Below are 17,317 nucleotides of genomic sequence, written 5' to 3'. Positions count from 1 at the left end.
ACTGATTAAGAAATAACTACTAAAAAACTGTCCTATAAAAGCTAGCAAAAGGTGGCGAAAGGGATTCTGGGACTTAGGAAGTTTATTATATGTGATGAATATATACTTGGAACTCCCACAGTGTAGGAATCAATCTCAGAGATGCTCCCTTCCAGCTGAGAGGTGTTACATCATTAGGCTTGAAACTTGAATCAGTCCTATCTCTTATATAAGGTCAGGACATCTCAAATAAAAGCCAGACCTGCATAACACGTCAGGGCAAACAAGAATGGTGTGTGAATAATGGAGTCACACCAAGAAGTTTCTCACCATTACTTCTCCTCTAGTAATAGGTATCTGTACTACTGTTCCCTACTTTGCATTGTCACATGATGAGAACAATGAAACTCAGAAGTCAAGCAAAAGGTCCAAGGCTGCCTAGTGAAACAGCAAAGCCAAAGCCAGAATTTAACATTTTGGGGTCCTGGTTAGAGATGTTTTTCTGTTTTCTGATTTAGAGATCTATTTCTTTGAGCCAGTTCCTCCTTCTAGTGTAAAAAACACTTTAGAATGCCTATCATGAAATGAATATGGAGTGTCAGGGATTGCGGAGGTGAGGAATGAGAGACTTGGAGTTTGCAAGTGATTGTCATAATTACAAGGGTCCACAGAAGTCCTTTCAAGGAAGCAAATCATTGCTCTGTGGCACATCTGTCTGGAAATGTTTTAAACTTCAGTTTTTATTCCCCAAGGTCCATTAATAGTCTGCAAAGCAGGCAAGCAAATGAGACTTTTGAATGACAAAGCTTTTAAAAGTATGATGTGCCTTTGTTTGTCCAAACTTGAGGATTATGCCAATATCTTATGGAGGTCTGTGAGGGGAAGACTATTTGTGAGAGTTAAGAAAAGAAAAAGAACTAGACCTTGCACCTCCAAACAAAAAGAAAATGATAATTATTTTAAGTTTTTAAATATGTCACTTTTAAAGAAGGACAAATGTGTTTATTTTTAATATAAATCCCACTTATATCCTAATCTCAGAGAATCAGCCAGGCATATTTTAGTTTAAAAAGCTCAAGCGTAGTATTCCATGGTGTGCAACAATAGAAACAGGATTACTAGAGCAGGGAGGGAGGAAGGGGAGAAAGGGTTGAAAAACTAACTCTTGGGTACTATGTTCAGTACATGGGTGATCATTCACACCCCAAATCTCAGCATCATATCACACAATATACTCAGGTAGCAAACCTGCACATATACCCTCTGAATCTAAAATAAAAGTTGTAAAAACAGTTCAAGTGAATTATGCAGCTTTTCTCTGCAAAACTTGTCAAAAGTGATTTGCAACATGATCTCGGAAACTTTCTCTAGGCATGCATTCTGCACTAATCCTTCATTAATGTGCAGCTCCAGACTGTTAGCTATGTATGCACAAAACTCCAGAGGTGTGCAAAAAGGCATGACTAAGCAGACTGGCATTCCTCACCGTCACGCGCTGTCCTCTATCAGACATCCTAAACCCTGAACACAGCACAGGGAGAGATTTGTCACATCGGGACGGCAGATAGAAGAAGAGGATAAAGAGACCGAGGTGCAGAGGGAACAGGGTGAAGAGAAAGGAGTAGAAGGAGGGTGGCCTCCAGCCCAGCTTCAAAGCTGGACTCAGCCTGGTTTGCTTGGTAATCTAGATTTTTAGTAAATCATGTTTTAAATGGCAAAAAGCCAATATGGGCATCTTTGTTTTAAACAAAGTAAACATACTATGTTGCTTTGTTTCTGAGGCTCCTGGAATATTCTTGCTAGCTGGGCCTGTACTGTGTGTACCTTCCTCTGTTTAGATATTATGCTTCTATTATTGCAGCTCATATTACATGAGCTAATTTATAGTAGACATGCGTGTTGTGTCTGATGGCCTCTGGGGTCAACTAAGATGCTTTTTGAGAGAATGGCAAGTAAAAGCAGGATGGACTTCCTACTGCCTTTAATTTGAAGTCCCGAATCTTTAAAGTGGCTTTGTATGTCCAAGCCACCTGGCCCCCAGGCCCATGTCTCTGTGTTCACTCATATGTGCCTCAGGGCCTTTGCTTCTGCTGATCCCATTGCTTGGAATATTCTCTTTTTCTCTTCATAGATATCCTAACCCCTCTCAGCCCCAAACCTGGCTAGTTCCAATAGGCATGTCTACCACAGGGCAGCTTTTCCGAATTTCTCTAATATACTCTAGTATATACTCTAATATACCCATAATTGTCTAACAGTTTTTGCAATTGTCATAAAATCTTCATGAAATTGTTTTTGTTGGTGTCTGTTTTATTCATAGGACTGTCGGTTTCATGAAGGCGTGTCTCTGTGATGTTCATTAGTGCCACTTGTGCCTAAAATGAGTGAAGTTAGGGAGCACTACACTGACTACAGCCGGGTCACGTGGCTTATACTTCATAGTGGAGGAAACAAAGAGTTCTGCGAAGACTCCTATGCACAGGACTTAAACAATGCAAGCAGTAATTACAGAATATGAATCCAACGGTAAACACACAGGATGAATCGGAGAGGGAGAGCGACTAAAGACTTGGAAGATTTGACCTGGAAGGGCTGGAAGTGAGAATTCACACATCGAGGCCTATTCCCAAGAATTGGGAGGCTCCCTTTCTCTAAGCATCCCTTGGTTGTATGCATCATAAGAGGGAGGACACTATACAGATGATTCAGCTGGAGCTAAGTGAACTACTTAGAAAGAAAAGGAGAGAACTCTTTCATTTGTAGCCTTATGGCTTCAAATATATTTCTAAGAGACAGAAAAATGTGGCAAGAACCAGACCGTCTTTAGAAGAAATAATTACTATTTCGCTTAGGTGAGGCTTCACAATCACTTTACAAAGTAATTTTGTACACATATATCATTTCACAATTTAAACTATATGTTGTTTGTGGATTTGAACTTAGATAACAGCCTTCATAGGTACAGCTTGCCTCAATTTCCTTAATACATATTAGCTAGTTCTTCCTTTGATGATTAAGATAGCCTTTTATGTATAAAATATACCGTTCTGTTTCAGTTAAGCCCCAAATTATTAATTTTGGATAACTGAATATTTTCAAAGAATCCAAATATCCTTAGAATACTAATACTTTCACTATACATCTGTTTAAAAATGAATACAAATGAACTTTCACTACTCCCTGGTTTTGAAGGAAGCCCATTCTTCCCAAGCCATACCAAGTGAGAAATGTTGCCTGCACTATGTGCCTTTCTCACAAAACTGATGCCCTGTGGCAAAGCAGGAAGATCAAATTATATGAAGAATGAGAACAAAGTTATCCCCCAGGTTTTGTCATTTCTAGAACAAGACAGACTATTTTTAGGTTTTCAAAATTCATTACTGAATTTTGCATCATTACTTTTAAACAGGACCTATGCTCAAATGACTTGGTTGATTCACACAGTTTTTGGCCAAAATGTACTATGAACACTTTTTGGAGGTTCATAATATCACGTTTATTTTAATGCACAATTTTGAATATCCCAAGAACACACTGGGCAAATGTCTTTTAATCCTAAGAAGTTCAAGGCATTTAAATGAGGCCTTAAATTTCAGAATACTGAGATTTTTATCTTTATAAAGTTGACTTTATCTTCGCTGTCCACCCTACTAGTTTTAGAACCTGGAATTTGATTCTGTCTGTACAATCTTCCATTTTTTCTTCTTATCTGTGACTCCATTTTAAGATCCATGACAAAATAGCTGTATGAAAAATAATGAAATTCCTCCTTTGGTGATAATATAAATGGGAAATGTACATCCTGAAATGTTTTGCATGAGCGGATTTATTCATATTAATTATGGTTCATATATAATTCATTTGAAAAGATTCTCCTACAGCTTTTAGAAATGAAATCTCTAAAAAATGGAAACAAATGACAAATAGTGCACGCATACATATGTGTAGTGTGTGAGTACTCATTAGGGAAAGTAACATTTCAGAGTTTAATGTGGTATTGCTCTCCTTTATAATACTTATCAGTGTTAGCTAATCTGAAGGTGCAGCTACAAACTACAGTACTCAGTCATTAGTGTTTGTGAGAGCTCTTCACGTGGAGGGCATTGAACTAGAATTTCCAACTTCATGGTATAGACGTCCTCTAGGTATATTTTATGCATTTCGAACACTATTGGCTTCAATTTTTGAATGAGAAATAAATTCCAAAAGTAGTAAAGTCAAAAGAAGTGGTGTCTCTGGGGGTGAGTTGGGTGAGGATCCTGTGTGAGATAACAAAAGGAGATGAAGGTGAGGAAATGGCTAGCTTCTCATGCACTGTTTTAGCCACCTTATGTGAAGAGTACACCTTAACAGTTAGGTTGGCGGAGGGACAGCATTAGGAAAAGTAGCTAATGCATGCTGGGCTTAATACCTGGGTAATGAGTTGATAGGTGTAGCAAACCACAATGGCACATGTTTACCTATGTAACAAACCTGTACATCCTGCACATGTACCCCAGAACTAAAAATGAAAATAAAAATGTTAGGTCCAGGGAAAGCTGCCTCTTCTGGCTGGTCCACAGAATGATAATGTGTTGCAACATGAGGCCAGGCAATGAAATAATGCAATGAACTGCAAAGAGCCACATGAACTAATGGTAATAATAATAATAAAAGAAAATCAACAGCAAAAGAATCCATTAAAAAATGTCTTCGTGCTCTTCTTGGTTTATAATGCACATCCTTTAGTCCCTAAGAGCCTGGCATATAAGGTTGCCACACTTGGCAAACAGTTTTTTAGTATAGGTGTGATGGTTAATACTGAGTGTCAACTTGATTGGATTGAAGGATACAAACTATTGATCCTGATTGTGTCTGCAAGGGTGCTGCCAAAATAACGTTTGAGTCAGTGGGCTGGGGAAGGCAGATCCACTCTTAATCTGGTAGGTACAATCTAATCAGCTGCCAGCAAATACAAGCAGGCAGAAAAACGTGAAAAGGAGAGACTGTCCTAGCCTCCTGGCCTACATCTTTCTCCTGTGCTGGATGCTTCCTGCTCTCAAACATCGGACTCCATGTTCTTCAGTTTTGGGACTTGGACTGGCTCTCCTTACACATGTATATATATGTGAGTGTGTGTGTGTGTATATATATATGTGTATGTGTGTGTATATATATGTTCTATTAGTTCTGTCCTTCTAGACAACCCTGACTAATACAGATTTTGGTAACAGGAGTGGTTCTAGAGGAACAGAATATTAAGAATGGAGTTCTTTCGTTGGTTTTGAGGCTTCTGGAGTTGGCTGCTTAATATGATTAGACCACAAAATGCTAAGGACTCTACTTCTAATAGTATGGAGAACACTGATAGTCCTTGGTGTGAACTGTTTAGAGAGTTATGCAAAATAAATGCATTTGACACTTCTGATTCACTGCTCCTGAGAGGCAAGGAGTTTGGTGACTCTATACATAATACCTTTGACCATATATGGAGAATAAAGGAACATAATGAAGCTGGTTGGTTACTTCTAACTTCAGTGGACAAAGTGTTGAAAGAAAATGATGAACTGGGGGATTCTGTCTCCCAGCTTCAGAAGCAGACACTGAGCCTCAAATCTGCTAAGATTGCCCTGAATGAGAGTCTTATCTCCTGTAGAGAAAGAGCTGAAATTGTGGAAAAACAGACAAGCTCTTATCATGCAAGTGGCTGACCTGCAATGAAAGATGCATGCACAGCCTCGCCAGGTGACTACTGTTAAAGTGAGGGCATTGATTGGAAAAGAATGGGACCCTGCAACTTGGAATGGGGATGTGTGGGAAGATTCTGATGAAACTGAGGACACTGAGTTTGTAAACTCTGATGAACCTTTTTTTTGCCAGAAGAAAGAGCTTTCCCATCCCCAGTAGAGTCAACATCCCCTCCCTGACCCATACTGCCATCAGCCTTTCGACCTTTGTCTGAAGAGATAAACCCTGCACTGCCTGAGGCAACAGTGACTCTCCTGAGGCAGTTGTCAAGCAAGATAATGTTGATTCTCCTGAGGAGCCACCCTCAATACCTCTGTTTGCTTCTAGACCTATAACTAGACTAAAATCCCAGCAGCCCCTAGAGGTGAGGTTGAGAGTGTGACCCATGAGGAGGTGCTCTACACTTGAAAAGAACTGCTTGAGTTCTTCAATTTATATAAACAAAAATCTGGAGAACAGGCATGGGAATGGATTTTAAAGGTGTGGGATAATGATAGAAGGAACATAGAGTTGGATCAGGCTGAATTTATTAATTTGGTCCCACTAAGTAGAAACTCTGCCTTTAATGTTGCAGCTCAGGGAGTTAAAAAATATTCTAATAGTTTATTTGCTTGGTTAGCTGAAATATGGATTAAAAGAGGCCCACTGTGAGTGAGCTGGAAATGCCTGATCTCCCTTGGTTTAACATAAAGGAAGGGATCCAAAGGCTTAGGGAGATTGGGATGGTGGAGTGGATTAGTCACTTTAGACCTACTCATCACAGCTGGGAGGGTCCAGAAGATATACCCTTGACCAATGCCTTGTGAAATAGATTTGTGAGGGCAGCACCTGCATCTTTGAAGAGCTCTGTAATTGCTCTTCTCTGTATGTCAGATCTAATGGTGGTAACCGCAGTCACTCAATTATAAAATTTAAATACAGTGGGAATAATTGGATCCCAAGGTGGCAGGGTCCAAGTTGGCACTCAACCATCAAAGGCACGGTGGGCATAGCTACCATAATGGACAGCAGAAGCAGACCTGCAATCAGAATAATCTGACTTGTGTAGCACTCTGGCATTGGCTAATTAATCACGGTGTTCCTAGAAGTGAAACTGATAGGAAGCCTACTGCATTCCTACTTAATTTATACAAGAAGAAAACTTCTAGGTCGAATGGACAGAAGACTAATTTGAATTATAAAACCAGAGAATCACAGCCCCTCAATCAATTTCCAGACTTGAGCCAGTTTGCAGACCCAGAAGCCTTCGAATGAAGGGGAGGCTGGCTCCTTTTGAGGAAAGACCCCACTACATTACTGACAATTTATGCAGTGAATCTTTCTCCCATTCTTCCCCAAGGAGACCTCCAGCCTTTAACCAGGGTAACTGTGCACTGGGGAAAGGGAAGTGATCAGATATTTCGGGGACTACTGGACATTGGCTCTGAGCTGACATTGATTGCAGGGGACCCAAAACGTCACTGTGGTCCTCCAGTTAAAATAGGGACTTATGGAGGTCAGGTAATTAATGGAGTTTTATCTCAGGTCTGACTTACAGTGAGTCCAGAGGATCCCCGGACTCATCCTGTGGTCATTTCCCCAGTGCCAGAATGCATAATTGGCATAGACATACTTAGCAGCTGTCAGAACCCCAACAACAGGTATATCGCAAATGTTGAATAGGACTCACTTACACTAAAAAATACTCACCATTTATCTGAAATTGAAATTTAACTGAGCCTCATGTGCTTTATCTAATATTCCTACTAACATAGCACTTTAGACTTAGAAAATATTTGTTGTGTGATTTAATTTTCTTTGCTTGGGATTATAGAAGAATGTCTTTTCCAGCTTGCTGATTTTTATTTTTGCCATGGATTTTTAAAAATTCAAATGAATTCCATAACCTGAGCCAAGCTTCTAAAACGTAAGCAGGGAGGTGCTCTCACAGGGAAGGAGAATAGAACCCAGCTCAGTCCAGGTTGCATCCTTTGCTACTGTTTGACATTTGTTTCTTTAGCCCAGGCTTCTCATTTTAGATAAGTAAAGGAGGATCGCAGAGGAAGGTGACTGCAAATCCAGTGTCTTTGCTTTGGATCACGCTGTCTTGGCATATACAGGTGACTCTGCTGTATAAGAATGAGTTATATTCCTAGAGTTAATTTACAAGCTTCATTACAGCACAGAGCACATTGTCCTCTTCAGAAAAAGCTATAACACTAAAGTTAGATTAGTAGGCAATCCAACAAGTTAGCTGAAAAACAAAATACCTGCCATGAAGAAAATTAGGGGGAAAAATAAACTACTTCAAATAAATTATGGGTAAGGTAGGTTTCACTGGACTAGTCTGAAAATGTAATGATCATGGTGTTAGTGAGACAGTGTGGAAACAGGCAAATAAATATTCTCTTTTCTTTTCAGCTTCAGGGATACTAATAAATGGAACTTGGATAGGGAGGAGACTGATTTGGTGGTGAGAGTAGAAAATGCACAGAAAGAATGAGTGAATAAAGAAATGGAGTCTCTGCTAATCTTTCCCAAACACTTAGACAGCTGACAATGTTCCAACATCTTCAGAGTTTTCACCATCCCTCACCTGCCCTGTCACTTCTTTCCCCTATAAAGTTAAAACTGTAAAGAAAGAAAAACTCTCCACATTTAACACTCTCCATTTGACCATTTATCTATTCATTAATACAATAAAGAGTTAAATATGTGGGCCAGGCACTGTACAAGGCACTGGTGACACACAGGTAAACAAGACAGAAACAGTTTCTGCCATCAGGGAACTTCAGGGAGACATACATTAAGAGATGATTACACAAATAATTAATTATAATTGTGATAAGTGATACTCAAAGAAGTACAGTTACTGCAAACACTGGCTACCCAATACAGAATCATCATCATCATCATTTCTTCATTATGCACTTGCTATGTGCTGTACTTTGTGCAAAGTATTGTATATCCCTTTTATCTAAAATTCGCACAAATCTTTTTTTTTTTTTTGAGACGGAGTCTCGCTCTGTCGCCCAGGCTGGACTGCGGACTGCAGTGGCGCAATCTCGGCTCACTGCAAGCTCCGCTTCCCGGGTTCACGCCATTCTCCTGCCTCAGCCTCCCGAGTAGCTGGGACTACAGGCGCCCGCCACCGCGCCCGGCTAATTTTTTGTATTTTTAATAGAGACGGGGTTTCACCTTGTTAGCCAGGATGGTCTCGATCTCCTGACCTCATGATCCACCCGCCTCGGCCTCCCAAAGTGCTGGGATTACAGGCGTGAGCCACCGCGCCCGGCCACAAATCTTGAAAAATAGCAAGGTAGAAATTATCACCATTTTCAAAAGATAACAGATAACCCTTTTTTTCTATTTATAGCTTTGCTTTCAGAGGAGGCCATTGGAAGACCCTTTGTTCTGGGCATCTTGATGCATTTGAGTATGAAAACTTGGAACAAGAACAGAAGAGAGCTAAATTTCTCTGCATAGTAAGAGGGAAAATATTTGTGTTCCTAGGAAACTATCTGGAGGCATATGTGAAGGGTGAAAAAAGCAGATAGAGGTTTCTGGAGAGACATCAAAGGCTGTGAGCCTCCCCACACCAGTCCTTGCCAACCCCAAACCTTCAGTGAAGTTACTGGACACACCAACATGAGTGAGCTCTTTGGTGGTCACCAGTGAGGGGACAGAGTTTCACTTGCAATTTGATAAAGGGGGAAAAGAGAACACAATGTGCATAGATATTAGGGTGAGAGGAATAACAGGTTAGGGGACAGTAACTCCAGTATTCCCAAAGGTGGTGAAAAGGGTTCGAATTGGTTTGAGCCAACTTTATGTGAGCCCTCAAGGGGCTAGGAAGTCCCAGCTGACAACTGGGTTATCCAAATGAGGACATATGGACACAGAGAGGTCCCAGAGCCATGAAAATTACTATATTTGAACCCAAATCTGACTCCAAGGTCTATATTCTTCCCACTTTGCCATGTTCCCTCAGTTTTTGCCAAGACTGAACAAGGGGCCACAATGCAACACTTCTGACCTGTGATTCTTGAAGGAATTAGCTCCAGACTAACCAGAGAACAGGCTGGCCATTCTCACATCAGAGCCCCCAACAACTGTGTACTGCTTTAACACTTCAAGTTTAAAGCACTTTTGCATACATTACCTCATGCATGGAATTTTACTTCTTCTGAATGAAGAACTAAATAAATTGTGCTAAATAAATCTCAAGCTGTTGTCAGTGCTTTTCACTACAAATTCCTCACCCAGCAGTTCCCCCATGGGTATTATCTGTTAAGTGCAGCTTTGCCCAGTGCAGTCACTCAGCTGGGGAGCAAATGCAGAACTTGGATTTGTTGTGCTGCAGACAGGCTTCAAGAGCAACTCGTACATCCTGTAGGCTTCGGAAAGAAAACTGGGGACACAATGTCCTGGTTCAAGCAAATGCCTACATTTATTTTTGGAATTATTCCTTGGAACTGTGGAGAGATGAGTTTTTTCATGCAGAACCAAGGACAAGAAACAGCAAGGTTAAGAAAACACAAATCTTGAAGTCTTAAAGCTCTTCTAGACTTATCTAGTGTGTCCTGGAGGTTTAATCACTGGGTAGAGTAAATCCTCAGCAGGTATAAATAACCTTAGGTTTCTTTCAGATTGTCTGCTTTGGTTGGGGAACTGCCAGATCTACAATGACTATTATTTCTGGTTGCCATTTATGTCTTTCCACCTTGAATTTCCCATCTTCCATCTTTTCTTTGTGTCCTAATTTAGAGTGTGTTTACTTTTGTATCTTTGAGAGTGCCTCGTATGCTGTGGAAAATACTCTTTGAATGCCCAATATGGAATGTGCCCAGCCTCCTTCAGAAGTTTTAAAAATTTGAGTGTTAAATTATTTTAGTTTATTTGAATCCTACATCTGATTTTAAAGTGTGAAAAATATACAACATTTTACCTCAGTCACACACTCAGACGTCCTGTTCTCTTCCTTAGCTTTCCTCAGAGCGGGGTTCTGAAGGAGAGAGCAGCAACCTGCCACCTACAGGAAGGTATTAAAACTTCTAGTTGCCCCTGTGCCATTTCTCACACACAGAAACACAGAATGTCTCTCTCTGTCTCTTGATTGCAGGTAAAGCAGCCATAAGAACTCAAGGAAGACAAAACATTTTAGAGGGGAGGTTTGGCAATGACATTAGACACACTTGAGTTCAAATCTCCTTGCTGCCAGGTACTACCTGCATGTACTTGAGCAAATAACTTGTTTTTCTTACCCTCCATTTCCTTATTTGAAAGTGCACATAATAATTTTCCTTATATAATTCCACGAGGACTGACTGAATAAGATGATTTTGTAAGACATTTGGTATTATACCTATGAGTTCCTGCCATTGACATTGACATCATACTCTCTTTTCAATATTCCCTTTCCTCTTTTTTTTCTTGTGACTTCTCTGGGACTCTCTTCCAGGTAATTGTGGTGGGGCTGCCTGTGTTTTCCTTCAGACATAGAGGTGCACAACTGAAGGGACCCCGGGTGTCAGAATACCCCACCCACTTGGCCATGGTGACCATTCAGGGCTGTACACACACCCCAAGCCAGGCTTTCTCACTTACTTGCTGGGATCTTTGAATTATTAAGAAAAATCTCCTGCTCAGAAAGTGAAGCTGGTGGGGTGTGATTTGGGGGCTACTGGCAGCCATCTTACCTGCTGTTTGGGAAGCCTCTTTCCAGGAGCTAGTGAGAGGCATAAGGTTTGGTTTTGTGTTTGAGTAGGAATCACTGAAGAAAGCTAAGCAGAAACAAGCAAAGCCTTGAAACAGGGAAGAGAACTTGGGGATGCCCTTTGGGCCTCTGGATCTAAATGAGTCTGCAGCCAACTGTACCCAAGTCCTTGTTATTTACATAAGCTGATTCCTCCTTTTTATTTTTTTTTGAGAAAAATACTTTATTTTATAATATTCTTTGAAAAAAGTACTGGAAGGAAATATATAAAGCCCTCAACAGTTTTATCCTGGGATGAGAATAGAAATTTTAGGTGGGGAAATTTTACTTTTCATGTAAAATATTTCTGCATGAAAAATTATTTATTTTATTTTTTTAAATTTTTTAAACTAGTTGAAGTGATATTTCTCAAACCTGCAGCAGGAGGAGCCTATTATAATTCCCTTCTGTTCTCCTATACTGCTTTTCATAAACTAAGAAGTGGGCCTTGTTTTTTGTCCTTTCTTTGTCAAAATCATTTTTGTCCTGATTTCTTAACATATAGAAAAACTCCAATAATTATACAAAAGAAGATAAAAACCATACTATTAACATTGCAGCTGATAGTCTTCTTGCTTCTTCTATACGTAGCTGCATTCACATTGAGTATGCAATTTCAAATTCTCACTTTTAACTTAATATCACAACATTGCGAAAGTAATACGTATCTGCTGAAGAAAATTCAGAAAACATAGGAAAGTAAAGATAGGAAAATTAATCTATTACCCATGGACAGTCATTAAGGATACCTTGCTTTATTTCTATCATTTTTTGCCTTTTCCCCCCCTCCCTCTTAATATTAGGATTAGATAGTAGATGGCATTTTATAAAAAACATATCCTCTTTCACAAAACACTTTTATAAGACATTTTAGGCGCTGAGTGCAGTGGCTCACACCTGTAATCCCAGCATATTGGGAGGCCAAGGTGGGTGGATCACTTGAGGCCAGGACTTTGACACTAGCCTGACCAACATGGTGAAACCCTGTCTCTACTAACAATACAAAAATTAGCCAGGGAAGGTGGCACTTTCCTGTAATCCCAACTACTTCGGAGGCTGAGGCAGGAGAATCGCTTGAACCTGGGAGGTGGAGGTTGCAGTGAGCCAAGATTGAGGCACTGGACTCCAGCCTGGGTGACAAAAGCAAAACTGTCTCTCTCAAAGAAAAAAAAAGGACATTTTAAATGGTTTCCATCATGCAGATGTTCCATAATTTATTTAACTTGTTCTTCATTGTTGGGCATTTAGTTTGTTTTACAGTGAAAATTTGTTTTCACAATACTGTGAATCAATATCCTTGATTCACAAGGATATTATAATACTGGGATCAGTATCCTTGTTTATAAATTCTGGGCCAAAAATATTTCCATTTTAGACATTCCTAAAAGTAAAATTACTAGTCAATGGTCATAAGTATTTTAAGGAAATTAAAAATATTATCAAGCCAAGACAATGGGAAAAAGGCCTTAAAAGCATTTCAGAAGGCTTCAGGACAGTCCTCCCATCACCAGCCCAGGATCACAGTAGGAAAGAATGGGTTTTGGGGCCAGGCCCAGGACCCTGCTGCCCTGTGAAGCCTCAGAAAACTGCTCCCAGCATCCCAGCTGCTAGGGCTCCAGCCTTTGCTTAAAGGGCTTCAGGTACAGCTCAGGCTGCCGCTTCTGAGAGTGCAAACTGCAAGCCTTGGGGGCTTCTACGTTGTGTTGAGCCTGCAGGCACACAGAATGCACAAGTGAAGGAGGCTTGGCAGCTTCCACCTAGATTCCAGAGGATGTATCAGAGGAAAGCCTTGGTGCTTGCCGCAGGGTGGAGCCTCCACAAAGATACTTTCCTAGGGCAGTGCTAAGGGGAAATGTGGGGTTGGAGCCCCACACAGCGTCCTCACCAGGGCACTACCTAGTGGAGCTGTGAGAAGGGGGTTGCTGTCCTTCAGTTGGGAAAATGGTAGAGCCACTGGCAGCTTGCATCCTGAGCCTGGAAAGCCACAGGCACTCAACTCCAATCCAGGAGAGCAGCCACTCGGTGGCAGTCTGCATAGCCATGGAGGTGGAGATGCCCTAAGTGTTGGGAGTCCATCCCTTGCACCAGTGTGCTCTGGTTTCAGGACAAGGAGTGAAGGATTATTTTGGAGCACTAAGGTTTAAGGTCAGCCCTGCTGGGTTTCAGACTTGCATGGGGCCTCTTACTCCTTTCCTCAGGCTGATTTTTCCCTTTTGGAATGTTTACTCAATGCCTGTAGTATTACTGTCGTTGGAAGCAAATAACTTGATTTTTATCTTACAGGCTCATAGGTGGAAGGACTTGCCTTGAGTCTCAGAAGAGACTTTGGACTTTTGAGTGATGCTGGAATGAGGTAAGACTTGGAGGCTATGAGGAAGAGATGACTGTATTTTGCAATGTGAGAAAGACATGAAATTCGGGGGACCAGGGGAAGAATGATAGATTTGGATATTCTGATCCCTCCAAATCTTTCTTTTTATTTTTTTTTAAATTATTATACTTTAAGTTCTGGGGTATATGTGCACAATGTGCAGGTTTGTTACATAGGTATACATGTGCCATGTGGGTTTGCTGCACCTATGAACTCGTCATTTACATTAGGTATTTCTCCTAATGCTATCCCTCCTCCAGCCCCCCACTCCCCGACAGGCTCTGGTGTGTGACGTTCCCTCCCTGTGTCCATGTGTTCTCATTGTTCAACTACCACTTATGAGTGAGAACATGCAGTGTTTGGTTTTCTCTTCTTCTGTTACGTTGCTGAGAATGATGATTTCCAGTTTCATACATGTCCCCGAAAAGGATATGAACTCATCCTTTTTTATGGCTGCATAGTATTCCATGGTGTATATGTGCCACATTTTCTTAATCCAGTCTATCATCGATGGACATTTGGGTTGGTTCCAAGACTTTGCTATTGTGAACAGTGCTGCAATAAACACACGTGTGCATGTGTCTTTATAGTAGAATGATTTATAATCCTTTGGGTATATACCCAGTAATGGGATTGTTGGGTCAAAGGGTATTTCCAGTTCTAGATCCTTGAGGAATCGCCACACTGTCTTCCACAATGGCTGAACTAATTTACAGTCCCACCAACAGTGTAAAAGTGTTCCTATTTCTCCACATTCTCTCCAGCATCTGTTTTTTCCTGACTTTTTAATGATCGCCATTCTAACTGGTGTGAGATAGTATCGTATTGTGGTTTTGATTTGCATTTCTCTAATGACCAGTGATGATGAGCTTTTTTTCATAAGTTTGCTGGCTGCATAAATGTCTTCTTTTGAGAAGTGTCTGTTCATATCCTTTGCCCACTTTTTGATGGGGTTGTTTTTTTTTTTTCTTGTAAATTTGTTTAAGTTCTTTGTAGATTCTAGATATTAGCCCTTTGTCAGATGGATAGATTGCAAAAATTTTCTCCTATTCTGTAGGTTGCCTGTTCACTCTGTTGATAGTTTCTTTTACTGTGCAGAAGCACTTTAGTTTAATTAGATCCCATTTGTCTATTTTGCCTTTTGTTGTCATTGCTTTTGGTGTTTTAGTCATGAAGTCTTTGCCCATGCCTATCTCCTGAATGGTATTGCCTAGGTTTTCTTCTAGGGTTTTTATGGCTTTAGGTCTTAGGTTTAAGTCTTTAATCCATCTTGAGTTAATTTTTGTATAAGGTGTAAAGAAAGGGTCCAGTTTCAGTTTTCTGCATATGACTAGCCAGTTTTTCCAGCACCATTTATTAAATAGGGAATCCTTTCCCCATTGCTTGTTTTTGTCATGTTTATCAAATATCCGATGGTTGTAGATGTGTGGTATTATTTCTGAGGTGTTATTTCTGATCAATGTTCTGTTCCATTGATCTATATATCTGTTTTGGTACCAGTACCATGCTGTTTTGTTTACTGTAGCCTTATAGTATAGTTTGAAGTCAGGTAGTGTTATGCCTCCAGCTTTGTTCTTTTTGCCTAGGATCTGACCCCTCCAAATCTTATGCTGAAATGTGACCTCCAATGTTGGAGGTGGGCCTAGTGGGAAGTGTTTAGGGATAGATCTGTCATGAATGGCTTGGTGTTGTCTTCACTGTAATGAGAGAGTTCTCACTGTATCAATTCACACCAAGAGCTGGTTTAAAAGAGCCTGGCACCTCTCCCCTCTCTTGCCATGTGATATGCTATTTCCCTTTCACCTTGTACCATTATTACAAGCTTCCTGAGGCCCTTGCCAGGAGCAGATGCTGGCATTATGCTTTGTGTACAACCTGCAGAACTGCGAGCCAAATAAACCTGTTTTCTTTATAAATTAAAAACATTAAAAATTATCAAACTGCTGTTCAATAAATTTGTAGTAATTCTCACTTCTACCAACAGTTTATGATAATGCTTAGTAAACACCGCTTTAGTAGCTGCATAGGATTTTTTAGCTATGAAATGACTTTAGCTATTCATTTTCCTGTTATAAGACATTATATCACACTATAAAAGACATTCTGTACATAACTCTTTGTATCCATTTAAGGTTATTGCTTCAGGTGATTTCAAAAATAAAATCTTTTATCAAAGGGCATAATTATTGTCAAGTCATTGATACATACTGATATGCCAAATTGCTTTCCAGAATGATTGTATTAATTTATATTTCACCACCAATAAAGTGTGAGAATGGCTTTCAACTTCACTAACATTACATATTACTACTATTAAAATAAAGCAATAAAAACTGACAATAACATATCTAAGAATATTCACTCATTTGATAGGTGTCACAGTTTGATTTTATTTTGAATGTATTTGATTAAGAGTGAAGTTTAATATTTTTCATAGTTTTTTTTTCTTTCTTTCTTTTCTTTTTTTTTGAGACAGAATCTCGCTCTTGTTGCCTAGGCTGGAGTGCAGTGGCACGATCTTGGCTCACTGCAACCTCTGCCTCCTGGGTTCAAGTAATTCTCCTGTCTCAGCCTCCTGAGTAGCTGGGATTACAGGCACCCGTCACCACGCCCGGCTAATTTTTGTATTTTTGGTGGAGATGGGGTTTTGCCATGCTGGCCAGGCTGGTCTCGAACTCCTGACATCAGGTGATCTACCTGCCTCGGCCTCCCAAATTGCTAGGATTACAGGCCTGAGCCACCGTGCCTGGCCCTATTTTTACTTTTTTTAGTTGTGAACATCTTATGTCCCTTGCCCATTTTATTGCCTTTGTATTCTCCTACATATTTTGCACAAATTATATTTAGGTTATTGACATATGGTCTCACATATTTATTTCAGAGATATACAATATATAAATTATTTCTATTATGTTTCACATAATTTCCTACGATTGGATATTAAACTTTTTTTGACAAATATACCGTCTATGTATAATATATACTCCTTCTCCACACAGGGAGGCACCACTGAACAGTGGTTAAGTACACAGGATGTGGCACTATAGTGTTTAACCTTTTAGGACTGTTGTGAAGATCAACTGATAGATCAGACAGAGTTGCCGATGCTTTGCTTATGGCAAGTTCTTATCATTGTTAGCTATTACTTATACAGTTTCTTTGACTATCATTTAACCTGAAGTTTGGTTAAGAACATTTTTTTTTGAGTTGCAGTAATTTAAAATGTTAATGTTGTCAAATATAATGATTTTCCATGGTGAACTTTTAATTCTTATATTTATAAAGTCCTTTTTCTTTCATGGATCATTTAAAATTCCCATAGACATTTACTCAAAAGGAAAGAAAATATGTATCTGTTGAAACATTTTCACATGAATGTTCATAGTAGCTTTATTCGTAATAGTCAAAAACCAGAAAGAACCTCAATGTTAATCAAAGATGAATGGATAAACAATAAATAAAGTAAGAAAGATGAACACATTGTTGATACACACAATGTAGATAAG

General features: G+C 39.8%; 1 protein-coding gene and 1 long non-coding RNA gene across 66 annotated transcripts in view; one reads left to right on the top strand and one right to left on the bottom strand.

Annotated features, from left to right (window-relative positions):
• The window catches only part of DTNA-AS1 (DTNA antisense RNA 1), a 31,274-nt gene extending 27,487 nt beyond the window's left edge, over positions 1-3,787 (top strand). The window contains exons 1-2 of one of the 3 annotated variants that reach the window (NR_199048.1): positions 1,409-1,570; positions 2,300-3,787. This is a non-coding gene — a long non-coding RNA (DTNA antisense RNA 1). Of the gene's footprint in view, positions 1-1,408; positions 1,659-2,299 lie in introns of those variants that run through there. The other 2 variants (NR_199047.1, NR_199046.1) reach the window with 2 other exon arrangements.
• DTNA (dystrobrevin alpha) overlaps positions 1-17,317 on the bottom strand; it is a 398,533-nt gene that overhangs the window by 151,665 nt on the left and 229,551 nt on the right. The gene's annotated exons all lie outside the window — the stretch shown is intronic.

This window comes from Homo sapiens, chromosome 18, assembly GCF_000001405.40.
Source record: "Homo sapiens chromosome 18, GRCh38.p14 Primary Assembly".
Classification (NCBI taxonomy): domain Eukaryota; kingdom Metazoa; phylum Chordata; class Mammalia; order Primates; family Hominidae; genus Homo; species Homo sapiens.
The sequence above is the reverse complement of the archived record's forward strand: the minus strand, read 5'-3'. Positions and strand labels throughout refer to the sequence as shown.